The sequence below is a fragment of the Homo sapiens genome, chromosome 16, assembly GCF_000001405.40.
Source record: "Homo sapiens chromosome 16, GRCh38.p14 Primary Assembly".
Lineage (NCBI taxonomy): Eukaryota > Metazoa > Chordata > Mammalia > Primates > Hominidae > Homo > Homo sapiens.
Genome location: NC_000016.10, coordinates 30407532 through 30422593, shown reverse-complemented (window position 1 = coordinate 30422593; position 15062 = coordinate 30407532). Strand labels below are relative to the sequence as shown.

The window sequence follows — 15062 nt, the reverse complement described above, 5'->3', positions numbered from 1 at the left end:
GTGGATCCCCTGATGTCAGGAGTTCGAGACCAACCCGGCCAACATGGTGAAACCCTATCTCTACTAAAAATACAAAAATTAGCTGGGCGTGGTAGCGGGTGTCTGTAATCCCAGCTACTCCGGAGGCTGAGGCAGGGAGAATTGCTTGAACCCGGGAGTCAGAGGTTGCAGTGAGCTAAGATCATGCCACTGCACTCCAGCCTGGGTGACAGAGCGAGAATCCGTCTCAAAAAAAAAAAAAGAAAGTGTTGAGTGTGTAAGATTTGCCTGTTGTGTGACTTTGGGCACATCACTTTTTTCTGAGATACCTCTGGCTGCCTCCGTCATAGGGTAGGCTAATGTAGGGGAAAGGACTTTTAAACTGCAGTTGACCCTTGAACAACACGGGTTTGAGCTGTGTAAGTCCACATTTGGTTGAATTTTTTTTCAACCAGACATGGTTCAACAATACAGTATTTGTGGGATGCAAAACCCATGTATGTGGAGGACCAGCTTTTCCCATATGTGGGTTCCGCAGGGCTGACTGGGGCTTGAGTATGCGTGGATTTGTGTACACGGTGGGGATGGGGGTGTGTCCTGGAAACAGTCCCCCACGTATACCAGTGGACATCTGTGCTTTCAGAATCTTCAATGGTCAGCCGGGTGCAGTGGCTTACACCTGTAATCCCAGCACTTTGGGAGGCTGAGGCGGGCGGATCATGAAGTCAGGAGATCAAGACCATCCTGGCTAACACAGTGAAACCCCGTCTCTGCTAAAAATACAAAAAATTAGCCGGGCGTGGTGACAGGCACCTGTAGTCCCAGCTACTTGGGAGGCTTAGGCAGAATGACGTGAACCCAGGAGGCGGAGCTTGCAGTGAGCCGAGATCGTGCCACTGCACTCCAGCCTGAGGGACAGAGCGAGACTCCGTCTCAAAAAAAAAAAAAAAAAAAAGAATCTACAATGGTCACTGACTTGCTGCCTCTCTGAGGCAGTCTGCATCTCAGTAAAATGAGGCATTCTCCTTTCCTGGCCTCACTCTCTTATATTTCTTATCCATTGACCCCCATTCTTATTTCCCAGGTAAAACAGTGCATCAGATTATGTGCCCAAACCCGCCTGTCTTCTGGCTGTCCAGTGATAATGGGATCCGCATTCTTATGAAGCCCTGATTCCTTCCTCTCTTTAATTGGGTGTCTGCTTTCCCTTCTGTATGATCAGCTTCTCTGCATTAGCCCTTTCTTCCCGTGCAGAAAGCATATATGAATCCCTTCCCTGTTGCCAAAAGTGAAACCATCAAACCTCGAGCAGTATCTTCAAAGGGTTGGCTAAATTCCCCCAATCTGCTTCCCCACTGTCCCATTTACAACCTTGCCTCCTGGCTGGTTTTCACCCCCCTCCACTGAAACGACTCTCACCACTATCCCCACCTTCATGACAAATGCAGCGGGCACCAGAGCAGCAGCTGATCCTCCACTCTCCCTGAAACACTTTCCTCTAGATTTCCCAGATAAGATGCTTACCTGGTTTTCTTCCTACCTCTGGCTATTTTTCCTTATTTTTAGTGGAGACGGGGTCTTACCATATTGCCCAAGTTGGTCTTGAACTCCTGGCCTCAAGTGATCCTCCTCCCTCGGCCTCCCAAAGTGCTGGGATTACCGGCGTGAGCCACCGCGCCTGGCCACTTTCAAGACTCTTCTTGAGTGCTTTCTTCTGGACATGGTGTCATGGACTCCAGACGAACTCCAGACCTGATATCTCTAAGCTATTATTGCCAATCCCCTCCCTCATGCTGACCTAACATTCAGCATGTCCAGACTGGGGTGTAACAGTTGCCCCACTTAACCTCCTGTCTTGCTCTTCATCCTGCACCCCCATCTCAGTGACACTGTCCTGCAGTCACCCAAGCTAAGAAATGAAGTCAGTCCCATCTCCTTTCCCTCAACCCCAGGTCCACTGCTATGAGTTCCAGCTCCCTACAGATGTCAGATCCATCCTTCCCCTCTAAGCCCTCAAGGCTTTGCTACCTTGGATACTTTAACCTCACTTCCAAAACCCTCTTGCTTTTTGTCCCCCCATTCCACCCCAGGGAACATTTGCAAGCTCTAATGACCCTGGAATGCAGCTTTAGGGGCTCTCTCCACACTTCCCGAACCCCAGCTTCACCTTCCAGACCCAACTTAAACATCACCTCTGAGAAGAGCCTATCTTCCTCCATCATAGCACCAGTTGACACTGGACTGCAAGTGCCTATTTACTTGTCTCTGCCATTCATTGGCTGTAGCAAAAATGGACAGAAAAGATTTACCTAGCCAGGCATGGTGGCTCATGCCTGATCTCAGCACTTCGGGAGGCAGAGGTGGAAGGATTGCTTGAGGCTAGGATATGGAGACCAGCCTGGGCACCATAGCGAGACCCTGTCTCTACAAAATAAATAAATTTATTTTTATTTTTTATTACTATTTTTTTTTGAGACAGAGTCTCACTCTTGTCACCCAGGCTGGAGTGCAATGGTGTGATCTCAGCTTACTGCAACCTCCACCTCCCATGTTCAAGCAATTCTCCTGCCTCAGCCTCCCAAGTAGCTGGGATTACAGGCGTCTGCCACCACGCCCAGCTGATGTTTTTGTTTTTTGTTTTTTTGAGATGGAGTCTCACTCTGTCTCAGCCTTCTGAGTAGCTGGGATTACAGGCTAATTAATTTTTGTATTTTTAGTAGAGATAGGGTTTCACCATGTTGGCCAGGCTGGTCTCGAACTCCTGACCTCAGGTGATCTGCCTGCCTCAGCCTCCCAAACTGCTGGGATTACAGGCGTAAGCCACCTTACCCGGCCCAAAATAAATTTAAAACAACGCATGGGTTTGGATTTATGATGGGCTGGATTCCCTAGGCCTCTCATAGTACCCCATGCCAGAGCAAACTGTAGCCCCAACCATTGCCGGGCCTCTATGCCTGTAGGCTGCTGGCACTGAAGTGGGTTGCACAGTAGAAAACAAGAAAAAATTTTTTATAACTTTGGAATTTTAAATTTTTATTTATTTTTGAGACAGCCTCACTCTGTCGCCCAGCCTGGAGTGCAGTGCCACAATATTAGCTCACTGTAGCCTCAACCTCCTGTGCTCAAGTGATCCTCCCACCTCAGCCTCCTCATTTGCTGTGACTACAAGTGTGCCTCACCATGCCCAGCCTTTTTTTTTCTTTTTTTAATAGATGGGGGTCTCACTTTGTTCTCCAGGCTGATCTCAAACTCTTGACTTCAAGAGATCCTCCTGCCTCCGCCTCCCAAAGTGCTGGAGATTACAGGCATGAGCTGCTAGGTCCAATCGCTTTGAGATTTTTTTGGTTTGGTTTGGTTTGGTTTGTTGTTTTTTGTTTGTTTGAGGCAGTCTTCCTCTGTTGCCCAGGCCGGAGTGCAATGGCACTATCTCGGTTCATTGCAACCTCTGTCTCCCAGGTTCAAGTGATTCTCATGCCTCAGCCCCCTCAGTAGCTGGGATTACAGGCGCCCGCCACCACACCCAGTTAATTTTTGTATTTTTAGTAGAGACCGGGTTTCACCATGTTGGCCAGGCTGGTATCGAACTCCTAACCTCAAGTGATCTGCTAGCCTCGCCCTCCCAAAGTGCTGGGATTACAGGCGTGAGTCACTGTGCGCCGGGCTGGGTAAGCTTACATAACAAAGCAGTTAAAACCTTTAACGTAGTGTTATTACAGTTTTCTCTCCTTCACTAGACTGAGATCTGAGGGTCGTGCCTTGCTCACTGGAGCTCTGCCGAATGCAGTGCGTGTCTGATCGTGAACATAGTATATTTATGGGCCCTTTCAGGTCTAAGGTTATGAGGACGTAACCAAGGGCCAAGTGTGCGATCACCTCCAACCAACACAAACCGAGGTGCCGGGAACCCCTTTTAGGTTTACATCCCCATTTGGTTCCTTGACAACTCACTTGGCACCTGAGCCTGGAGAACCCCAACTTTCTTCCTCTCCCACCCACCTCACTCACAGGCACGGGTGGGGTGAGGATATAATACTTTATTCACTAACACGGGCCGAGGGAATGTAGTGATGTGGGGTGGGCACTGTTTCCAGGGACCCCGGCAGGGGATTCTCCCTGTCTCCCAGTTCCAGGGCAGCCGGGCCTGCCGTCCCCTCAATTTCCCAGACCCGGAGGCCGGGGCGAGGAGGAGCCTGGGTTAGTGCAGCCAGGTCGAAGCCCCAGCGCGCCCCTCCGCAGCCCTGCGGGACTCAGCTGCCCTCACACTCCGGGCAACGCTCGGTGGCAGTGGCGGCCGTGGCGCCAGGGGGCAGCTTGAAGTCCCTGCCGCAGCCGGCGCAAATATACAGGCGGCGCCGCATGTGCGCGCGTCGGTGGCGAATGAAGTGCGAGCTTAGGCGGAAGCGGCGGCCGCACTCGGCGCAGGGGTAGGGCCGCTCGCCTGTGTGCGTGCGCGCGTGCTCCGCCAGGTTGGAGCGGTGGCCGAAGCGACGGCCACACACAGCGCAGCGGTGCGGCTTCTCGCCCGTGTGCACGCGCCGGTGCTTGGCCAGCGCCGAGCTCTGAGCGAAGCGCGTGCCGCAGTCGGCGCAAGCGTAGGGCCGCTCGCCCGTGTGCGTGCGTCGGTGGCGCGCCAGGCACGAGCTGCCGCCAAAGGCGCGTCCGCAGTCCGGGCACGCGTACGGCTTCTCGCCCGTGTGCACGCGCAGGTGCTGTGCGTAGTTGGAGCTCTGCGCGAAGCGGCGGCCGCAGTGCGCGCATGCGTACGGCTTCTCGCCCGTGTGCCGCCGCCGGTGCTGCCGCAGGTTCGAGGCGGCCGAGAAGCGTTTGTCGCACTCGGGGCACTCGTAGGGCCGCTCGCCCGTGTGCGTGCGGCCGTGTTTGGTCAGCGCCGACTTCTGTGAGAAGCGCCGCCCGCACTCGGTGCACCCGAAGGGCCGTTCGCCCGTGTGCGTGCGCGCGTGCTTCGCCAGCGTGGAGCGGCGCGCGAAGGCGCGGCCGCAGTCGGGGCACGCGTGGGGACGCGCCGGGTCGGCGGACGGCGCGGGCGCCTCGCCCGGGACCTGCGGGGAGAGGGGGATAGGTCAGCCCTTAGCGGCAGGCCCCGGAGCCAGAGACCTGGGTCTCCACAGGCTGCTCCCTCTGTGAGCCTCAGTTCCCCATCTATGAAATAGGAAAGGCCACGGTGCTGCCTCCCAGGATGGCTGTGCGCATCCAGTGAGATAATGCGCGTAACGCACACATCACAAAGCCCAGTGGCGTTCTAGCTATTTTTATTAATTCAACCAATATTTACTGAGGGCATGCAGTGTCCTAGACTGTTCTAGGCACGGGGATTCCGCATTAAATAAAAAGCATTAAAAAATTCCTGCTTTCAGAAATAATGGATAAGGAATGCTGGTATTGGGGATGCTACAGATTTAAACAGGGTTGTCAAGACACTTTACCGATATGATAACATGAGCAAAGACTTAAAGGAGGTGACAGAGCAGGCTACGTGGATAGCCCTCTGAGGAGCACTGCAGAGGGAACGGCAGGGCGCAGAGGCGGGAGTTGCCTGCTGTTCCAGAAATGGCAAGAAAAATTGGTTAAAGCAGAATGCATGATGGGGGGAGTCACGGATGTAGTGGTGGAGATCTCTTGGCATATAGGGCCTTGTATTTGTTATATTTGGCTTTTTTTTTTTTTTTTTTTTTTAAGAGACAGGGTCTTGCCGTGGCCCAGGCTTGGTCCCGAACCTCCTGGCTCAAGCAGTCCCTCCTGACTCAGCCTTCTGAGTAGCTGGAGTTACAGGCACATACCACTGTGCCTGGCTCTGGCTTTTATTATAAAGGAGACAGGGACCTGTAAGAGGAGATGTCAGAGGGCTTTGAGCAGGGAAGTGACCATATCCTACACATTTAAAAAGGCTCCCCTCAGGCTACTGGGGTTGAAAACCAAATGAAGGAGTTGGAGAGAGCAGAAGCAGAAGCCCAGTGAGGAGGCCACTACAGCCACCTGGCAAGAGAAGATAGTGGCTCATACCCAGGTGACAGAAGTGGACGGTGGATGGTGGAGGTGGTGAGAAGTGATTGGCTTCTGGATCTATTTGCAGTGTGAGACAATAGATTTAATAAGAGATTAGATATGAGGTGTGAAGAAAAAGAGATCAAAATGACTTCAAGGTTTTTGAGCTTAGCAACTGCAAAGGTGGAGTTGCCATTTACAGAGATGAGGACGGTGGGAGGAGCAAGTTGAGAGGGGAGATCTGTTTTGGATGGTGTCACGGCTTCTTGACATATCTGGAGCTCAGAAGCGAGGCCTAGACTGGAGATGTTAATTGAGAAGCTGTCAACCTATAGATGGTTTATAAAGCCTTGAGAATGAGTGGATGAGATCATCCAGGGGATGGGCAGACAGAACCTAGGGCAGCAAGATGGGGAGAAGCCAGGGAGGGAGGAGAGCAGGAGAGGGGCATCCTGGAAGCCAGGCCAGGACCAAGTCCAGGCTCTTAATCAGCTTTGAATAGCAAACACCTATCATTTTTTAAGCAGTGAAGAAAAAGGCAAGGGTAAAAGCCAAATGTTATTCTGAGGTCTGAAATGAAACAATCTGAAAATGAGCCAGTTTCACAAGCTCTGGCCTTTTAGAGATAAAAATCAGAAAAAGGAAAGAAATGCCTTCTAAGAGGCACATGAAGGGAAAACATTCTGGACTAACAGTGAAGAGTATTGAGGGCATATTGCTCCCTTCCTAGAAAAGAGAACGCTCAAAACCCCAGCAAAACTGATGTCGCGTATCTACTGTGGCCAAGCAATTAATTCATGACCAAATGAAGTGCCTGGGGCATATTAAGGACAAGACAGTGTCAGCTTCTCCCATATTCGATCTCCACGAGGTAATTATCATCATCCCTATTTTACAGATGGGGAGACAGGTGAAGAGAGAGGGACAGCAAGGCCAGGTGCAGTGGCTCACGCCTGTAATACCAGCACTTTGGGAGGCCGAGGCAGGTGGATCACGAGGTCAGGAGTTCAAGCCCAGCCTAGCCAAGATGTTGAAACCCCGTCTCTACTACAAATACAAAAATTAGCTGGGCGTGGTGGCGGACGCCTGTAATCCCAGCTACTCGGGAGGCTGAGGCAGGGAACTGCTTGAACCCGGGAGGTGGAGGTTGCAGTGAGCCAAGATTGCACCACTGCCTCCAGCCTAGGTGACGGCAAGACTCCGTCTCAAAAAAAAAAAAAAAAAAAAAAGGGTGACAGCAGAAAATAGTAGGGCCTTCTGTTTCTGAAGCTGCAGGAGGGCAACTTCAAGGCCTTCAAGATAGTTTGTCAAAAGGTAGTGGCTTTGTGGTAACCAACTCAGAAATTAGAAAATAAGCCAGGCGTGGTGGTTCACACCTGTAATCCCAGTACTTTGGGAGATCGAGGTGGGCGGATCACTTGAGGTCAGGAGTTCAAGACCAGCCTGGCCAACATGGTGAAACCCTGTCTCTACTAAAAATACAAAAATCAGCTGGATGTGGTGGCTCATGCCTGTAATCCCACCTACTCAGGAGGCTGAGGCAGGAGAATCACTTGAACCCGGGAGGCAGAGGTTGCAGTGAGCTGAGATCATGCCACTGCACTCCAGCCTGGGGAACAGAGTGAGATTCCATCTCAAAAAAAAAAAAAAAAAAAAAAAAAAAAAGAGGCCGGGCGCGGTGGCTCACGCCTGTAATCCCAGCACTTTGGGAGGCTGAGGTGGGCAGATCACAAGGTCAGGAGATCGAGACCATCCTGGCTAACATGGTGAAACCCCATCTCTACTAAAAAAATACAAAAAATTAGCCAGGCGTGGTGGCAGGTGCCTGTAGTCCCAGCTACGCGGGAGGCTGAGGCAGGAGAATGACATGAACCCGGGAGGCGGAGCTTGCAGTGAGCGGAGATGCGCCACTGCACTCCAGCCTGGGCAACAGAGCGAGACTCCGTTGAAAAAAAAAAATTAGAAAACAGGGCAATTTAGAAAATTAGTGACCAAGAGAAATCTGGTTTAAATAGTATCTATACTGATAACAATAGCAACAATCAATAACAAAGTATTAAGCTTTGACAACACTATGTATGTTATTGTATTAAATCCTCCTGTCACCCGCCTTGAGCTGGGTGTTCTCTCTTTTGATAGCTGAGAAAGCTGAGGCTGAGGGCGATGAAATTCACATGGCCAGTGGGAGCCAGGATGGACTCAGGGTGCCCATGAGACCATGCCGTCATTCAGGCTACACTGTTCTGAACTCACGTGACCAAGATGTGACAGAGGCTGGATTCCACGTCCCTGGCACACTCCAAGAGGGATTCAAGGTTAAAATACAACTTGATACTTTAAATGGAGAAACTCCCCACAGTATGTTTGGTACCATCTGAATTCAAGGTCACATTTTCCAGTCTTGCCCTGGTTTTGAAATCTATTGGTTTATTTCAATACATCAGCCACTGTGGAGAGAACTTGTCTCATCAGATCTACATTTTTCTGGCCCGTTTTTCCTTGGCACCCTCTTTCAGGTGACTTTGGACAGCCTGAGGGCTTCCTCATGCTGAGTTCACTGACTTCTGAAAAAGAAATTCTCCATACAAGCACTGTTGATGTCTCCAGCCCAGGAGAAGGGGCCTTGGATGCCCGAGGAAAAATCTTGGTAAGAGGAGCTGAATCCAGCTCATTAAGATCCTCCTCTGCCCCAGTGTCCCGAGAAAGGCCAGGTAGGCTAAGTGAGATCAAATTCCCAGTATGAGGCCAGGTGCAGTGACTCACACCTGTAATCTTAGCACTTCGGGAGGCCAAGGAAGGAGGATTACTTGAGGCCAGGAGTTGGACACCAGCCTGGGCAACACAGTTAGACCTCGTCTCTACAAAAAGTGAAAAATTAGCCAGGTGTGGTGGGGTGCACTTGTAGTCCCAACAACTTGGTAGGCCGAGGAAGGAGGATCACTTGAGCCCAAGAGTTCAAGGCTGCAGTGAGCTACAATCACGTGCCACTGCACTCCAGCCTGGGTGACAAAGCGAGATCGTGTCTCTAAAAAAAGAAAAAAAAACCCAAAATTTCCCAGCATGAGGTATAAGGTGGTATGTGGGCAAACTTTAAAAAAGTCTCATAATTGTTACACATTTATTTTCACGAATATTTAAAAAACAAGATATCACATGAAACCCACAATTTCATCAGTACTATTGTTTAGATGAAGGTACATTTATTTAACAAAACAATGTGAATCTATTTGAAGAAAAACATTAATAAATAATGTGAGTACAACATATGAGCAATACACATGTGACTGAAACTTGGCAAATACCAGACTAGGTGATCATTAATGGCCCAAGCATGTCTTAAATTCTACAACTATTAGATTTAAAAATTAGAATAAATGGTATTTGCACTATAACAGGAGGCTACTGTGAACATACAATGTAGTGTAATAATATAATAATCCAGGTATTAGAAGTTAGTGATTTTTGTTTTCCTGCTTAAATGTTTTTTAACCAGAGCAAACATCCCAGTTTCTTCCTTAGCCATTACTTCTCTAATTAATAAAATAACTCCCACTTGTTGGGCACTCACCATGTGCCAGGAACTGTGCTAAGTGCTTTTTACCAGTACTGTCTTTCTAAATTCTCGCCATGGCTTTCGTTAGGTACCTTAGCCCTGTTTTATATATAAGGAAATAAGACTCAGAAGTTAAGTGACTACACAAGGCAAGGCTATTCAGCTAATAAATGGCAGAGCCAGGGTTTGAACTGAATTTACTCATTTTCCAGAACACCTATTCTCTTAACCATGATGCAATTCTTTTTTTATTCTCTTTTTTTTTTTTGAGAAAAGGTCTCACTGTGTCACCCAGGCTGGATGCAGTGGCATGATCACGGCTCACTGCAGCCTTGACTTCCCGGGCTAAAGCAATCCTCCTGACTCAACCCCCCAAATAGCTGGCGCTACAGGGGTGTGCCACCACACCCGGCTAATTTTTGTATTTCAGTAGAGATGGGGTTTTGCCATGTTGCCCAGGCTGGTCTCGAACTCCTGAGCTCAATCAATCCTCCTGCCTCAGCCTCCAAAAGTGCTGGGATTACAGGCAAGAGCCATCACGCCCAGCCTCCATGATGCAATTCTAATCTCACTGACTAGAGTTTGAGGCCACTTACACAGCTTGTCTCCCTCCCCTGGCCCCTTTTTGCGGTCACAGTCTTCCTTCATTTTGGCACAAACTATTAAACACAACCACTGTCTTCTAGTTCCTTGCTGGAGGATGTGTGGTCCACAGACCAGCAACATCAACATCACTGGGAACTTTTTACAAATGCAGAATCTCAAATCCCACTCCAGATTTTACTGAATTAAAATCCTCATTTTAACAAGACCCCTGGGTGATCTGTATGCATGTTAAAAATTAAGAAACTGATCTAGATGAGAAAAGAGCTACTCCTGGAGAAAGCAGGGAGCAAAGGTGAAGAGGGCTTTGCGGGCTGAGACCACAAGGGGGGATGGGATAGGTGTCGAGGGGATGAAGCCAGAATGGCATGAGGTCAGATGGTAAAGAGCTTTGAATGCCAAGTTTAGGAGCTGAGACCTCACCCTGAGGGAAACAGAAAACCACTCAAGGGTTCAAGCCAGGGAAAGATAGGTTTGGATGTGCATGGAGCCCTCAGAAAATCTTTCTAAAAGATAGATTGGGTTTTGATGGCAGAGGGAGAATACTCCAGCCCCTGCATGCAGCGTAATTAAGGCCCTTCTGGACAGTGACTGGCCACAGGACTGGCAATAGCTAGGACTCACTGAATGTCACCACTGGAAGGTGTTTTCGAGGTCACCATTTCATAGATGGAGAAATGAGGCTCAGGAAGGCCCACAGCAAGCTAACGATCGAGCACCCTTCTGGGCACGATGCTAACAGTTCATGGGATATGTGTGCATAATCCTCAATTCCACCCATCTCCTCCAAATCTAGTCACCTTGATGACACTTCTCAGACTGGCATTCAGGGGTCTTACTCTATTACCCCATTTTACAGATGAGAAAGCCAAAGAAAAGCTGGTAAACGGTGGAGTTACGACCGCTACATGATACCATTCACAATCTGGCCCTGTGTGCCTTTCATGACTAGCCATGTCAGACCTTCACCGCACATACCCCTTGGCTCTAGCCAGGTTCCTAAATGGCCCCTTTTCCTCATCATTGCTGTTACTACCTTAGAGCAGGCCCTACCTGGCCTGGGCTCCCTGTAGCAGCCAATAATTCTTCTAAACAGAAAATCCAATCATGTCCCTCCTCTGATTTTTTTTTTTTTTTGAGATGGAATCTTGCTCTGTTGCCCAGGCTGGAGTGCAGCGGTGCAATCTCAGCTCACTGCAACCTCCGCCTCCCAGATTCAAGCGATTCTCCTGCCTCAGCCTCCCAAGTAGCTGGGATTGCAAGCAGGTGCCACCACACCCGGCTAATTTTTGTATTTTTAGTAGAGATGGGGTTTCACCATGTTGGCAAGGCTGGTCTCGAACTCCTGACCTCAAGTGATCCGCCCGCCTCAGCCTCCCAAAGTGCTGGGATTACAGGCATGAGCCACCACGCCTGGCCTGTTTTTGTTTTTTGAGACAGGGTCTCTCTCTGTTGCCCAGGCTGGAGTACAGTGGTGCAGTCATGGCTCACTGCAGCCTTGAACTCCTGGGATCATTCAGCCTCCAGAGTAGCTAGGACTACAGGCATGCCACCATGCCCAGCTAATTAAACTTTTTTTTTTTTTTTTTTTTTTTTTTTGTAGAGATGAGGTCTCCCTATGTTGCCCAGGGAGGAATCGAACTCCTGGGCTCAAGTGATCCTCCCACCTTGGCTTTCCAAAGTGCTAGGATTACAGGTGTGAGCCACCACGCCTGGCTCTTCCCATGATTTAAGGCTTCTTATGGTGCCACAGAACCTAACACAGTACGTCCTGCCCTAGCTTGCAAGGCCCCTCTGTCCCCCAACTGCCTTTCCAGTCTCATTTCCTCTGAGTCTTTGTTTTTGCTGTTTCCTCCTCCTGGAATGCCCTTCCTCCTCCTCCATGTGCCAAACCCCTGCAAAGCCTTCAAGGCCCAAGTCAAAAATCATCTCCTCTGGGAAGCCTTCCCCACTGCCTTGAGTCGTTTGTCTTCAATCCTCTGTGCCCCCACATTCACTTCCCTGATCAACCCCAGTTCTCATGGTTCAGCCCAGGCCTTTGATAAAAATGAGTTGAGCCAGGCGTGGTGGCTCACGCCTGTAATCCCAACACTTTGGGAGGCCGAGGCGGGCGGATCATGAGGTCAGGAGTTCGAGACCAGCCTGACCAATATGGTGAAACCCCACCTCTACTAAAAATACAAAAATTAGCTGGGCATGGTAGTGCGCACCTATAATCCCAGCTACTCAGGAGACTGAGGCAGGAGAATGGCATGAACCCGGTAGGTGGAGGTGCGGTGAACCAAGATTGCGCCACTGCACTCCAGCCTGGGCGACATAGTGAGACTCCGTCTCAAAAAAAAAAAAAAAAGTTGAAAAATCTCAAGAAGGATGACCTTGCCCAAGGTCCTGAGCTTTGGGGAGAAGAATAAATGTAACAGCAACTATTTCCGTGTTTATTTTGTGCCAGACACAGTTCTAACTCTGTGCATGTGTTGACTCATTCATTCCTCACAACTCCAAGATGTAGGTGCTGTTATAATTTCCCTTTTACAAATGAGGAAACTGAGGCGTGGAGCGGTTAGGAAACTTGGCCAAGGTCACACAGCGGGTAAATGATGGAGCTGGAAGTCCACCCTAAGCTCTGGAGCCTGTGTTTGTAACTTAGAGGCCAAAGGTGGAGATCAGGCAATCGCAGGGCCAGAAGAGGCAGGCAGAGCTGGATAATGGGCGAAGGGGGCCCGCAACAAACACAACCAGATAGTTATTAGACTATCCAGAGGCCTAAGGAGCTAGTCCCCTCCCCCAGCACCCAGCAGGCCCACTAGGGGGCAGCAGAGCATTCTTTCCCTGGGAACTGGCTCCTGGGCAGGAAGAATCAGAGTCCCGGCCCCTGCAAGCTGGGTCCCTGGGGCCAAAGCCCTCTGCTGGTACTCAGGGCTGCTCAGGCTGGGGGCAGACAGAATCCTCTGGGGTTCTGAGAAGCGGAAACGTATCTGGTGGCAGTTAGGGTCTCCAGGGGGTGAAATTTAACTCATATTCTGATCTCAAAACCTTCAAATACCCTCAGAATAAAAGCCAGACTCCCTGTGTGGCCTGCCAACCACCCCCACTCATCCACACTACAGCATGACCGAACCACCCACCCTCACTGCTGCAGTGCACTACTCACTCGTCTGAGCCTCTATAAGGGCCATTTCTGGCTGGATACGGTGGCTCACACCTATAATCCCAGCACTTTGGGAGGCTGAGGTGGGAGGATCACCTGAACTCAGGAGTTTGAGACCAGTCTGGCCAACATGGCAAAACCCCAACTCTACTGAAAATACAAAAAATTAGCCGGGCGTGGTGGTGCATGCCTGTAATCCCAGCTTCTTGGGAGGCTGAGGTAGGAGAACCACTTGAACCCGGGAGGTGGAGGCTGCAGTGAGCCGAGATCACGCCACTGCACTCCAGCCTGGGCAACAGAGCGAAACTCTGTCTCAAAACAAAACAAAAAAAAATTAGCCAGGTGTAGTGGTGCATGCCTGTAGTCCCAGCTACTTGGGAGGCTGAGGTGGGAGGATCACCTGAGCCCAGGGAAGTCAAGGCTGCAGTGAGCTGTACTGCACTACAGCTTGGGTGACTGAATGAGACCCTGTCTCAAACAATAACAACAGTAATAATAAAAGAGCCATTTCCTCTGACTGGGTCCATCACCCCACTTCTGACCCCAGACTCCTACTAGTCTCACATAAGCCATCCTTTTACTTTGAGACCTGTGGCCAGTTACCAAACTGCCCTGGGCCTCAGTCTCCTCATCTGTAAAATGGAATAAATGCTACCGACATCATAGAATCGAGGTGCTTAGAACAGTGCCTGGCACATAGAAAATGCTAGGCAAGGGTTAGCTATTGTTACTGTTGCTGTTGAACTAACCTGACCTTTCCCCAACCTCTAAATCTGAGTTAAGTTCCCACTTCTAGGCTTCATCATCCCCCTGTACCTGCAGCCATCACACGGGATTCTAACTGTGTGGTTACCCTTCAGTCTAACATCAAGCTCCATGGGGGATCCAAGGACGGAGTTTAATCTCCTGCACCCAGCAGGAAGCCTGGGACAGTAGGCGTGACTTTTGTATGATGGAAGCCCAGGCAGTAGGGCAGAAGGATGGGCCAATCCTGAGGTTTTAGATCCGAGATTCTGGGAAAAGTAGGGGCAAGATCCCTGGCTTCTATCTGAGGGAGGCTGGGCCTGGACCAGGTTTGGGGACAGTGTGCCCCAGGGTGTGTGTGACACATACCTCCTTGTTGTCCATGGGGATCTTGAGTTTCACCACCTCATACTTCTCCTCACCCTCATCCTCCTCACCCTTCACCAGCAGCACCATCTCCTCCTGCATCTCTTCCTCCTCCTCTTCCTCTGCCTGCTGTTCGCCAGGCATCTTGGTGTCCTGAGGCGGGGAGCTGGATCAGAAGCTCAGGACCCGCCCCCCCCCACCCCCCCCCCCGCCCACCGTGGCCCTGGCCCAGCAAGGCAGTGCAGCCGTGGCTTCTCCCGCCCTGCCCTGGTCTCCGAATCTGGTCCTCTCCCGTCCACCCCAGCCCGGCCCCACGCTCTGGCACAGCCCCGGGACCAGCTCCGAGGGCTCGCGTTCACCCCACTCATCCCAGCATTCAAGGCCTTGAACAGTTCGAATCTCCAGCCCCCGCAAGTCGCCACCATCCTTGCGCTGAGTCACTCCCCAGGGCCCGGGTCGGCGACCTGGAGCTCTGGGGCACGGGCTGGAGGCGGGATCGGGGCGGAAACCCCGGGGAGGGGGTGCGCACTCACCAGCCGAAGGTTCGGCACTCGCGGTGCCCCAGGCCTGGGCGCCGGGCGGCTGGGCACTCAGCGAGGCCGCGGCTCCGGGGGCGGGGAGGGGGCGGGACCGCAGGGACGGCCGGTCATTGGTCCGAACATATAG

General features: G+C 50.9%; 1 protein-coding gene and 1 non-coding gene across 4 annotated transcripts, besides 5 other annotated features; one reads left to right on the top strand and one right to left on the bottom strand.

Moving 5' to 3' along the window:
- The first annotated feature begins 2834 nt into the window (after window positions 1-2834).
- On the top strand, window positions 2835-2969 carry SNORA80C (small nucleolar RNA, H/ACA box 80C). The gene has a single exon (NR_145731.1). It is a non-coding gene; the product is annotated as a small nucleolar RNA, H/ACA box 80C (small nucleolar RNA).
- Window positions 2970-3179: 210 nt separating this feature from the next.
- On the bottom strand, window positions 3180-14988 carry ZNF771 (zinc finger protein 771). Of its 3 annotated transcripts, none has more exons than XM_047434196.1 (3): window positions 14756-14988; window positions 14400-14549; window positions 3180-5039 (listed from the first exon to the last, which is right to left on the bottom strand). In XM_047434196.1, exons 1-3 carry the CDS (start codon window positions 14819-14821, stop codon window positions 4227-4229), a joined length of 1029 nt encoding a protein of 342 aa, XP_047290152.1. In that variant the 5' UTR covers window positions 14822-14988; the 3' UTR covers window positions 3180-4226. The 3 variants fall into 3 exon arrangements, with proteins under 3 accessions (XP_047290152.1, NP_057727.2, NP_001135777.1); NM_016643.4 differs by having other exon boundaries at window positions 14400-14562; window positions 14930-14988; NM_001142305.2 differs by having other exon boundaries at window positions 14930-14988.
- Window positions 4523-4572: a silencer, noted in NCBI's record as "silent region_7373". NCBI's record gives its function as "represses an Ori minimal core promoter by ATAC-STARR-seq in GM12878 lymphoblastoid cells {active_cell/tissue: GM12878}" and the evidence as "EXISTENCE:reporter gene assay evidence [ECO:0000049][PMID:35858748]".
- Window positions 4603-4682: a silencer, noted in NCBI's record as "silent region_7372". NCBI's record gives its function as "represses an Ori minimal core promoter by ATAC-STARR-seq in GM12878 lymphoblastoid cells {active_cell/tissue: GM12878}" and the evidence as "EXISTENCE:reporter gene assay evidence [ECO:0000049][PMID:35858748]".
- Window positions 4963-5052: a silencer, noted in NCBI's record as "silent region_7371". NCBI's record gives its function as "represses an Ori minimal core promoter by ATAC-STARR-seq in GM12878 lymphoblastoid cells {active_cell/tissue: GM12878}" and the evidence as "EXISTENCE:reporter gene assay evidence [ECO:0000049][PMID:35858748]".
- Window positions 12929-13018: a silencer, noted in NCBI's record as "silent region_7370". NCBI's record gives its function as "represses an Ori minimal core promoter by ATAC-STARR-seq in GM12878 lymphoblastoid cells {active_cell/tissue: GM12878}" and the evidence as "EXISTENCE:reporter gene assay evidence [ECO:0000049][PMID:35858748]".
- Window positions 14853-15062: a silencer, noted in NCBI's record as "silent region_7369". NCBI's record gives its function as "represses an Ori minimal core promoter by ATAC-STARR-seq in GM12878 lymphoblastoid cells {active_cell/tissue: GM12878}" and the evidence as "EXISTENCE:reporter gene assay evidence [ECO:0000049][PMID:35858748]".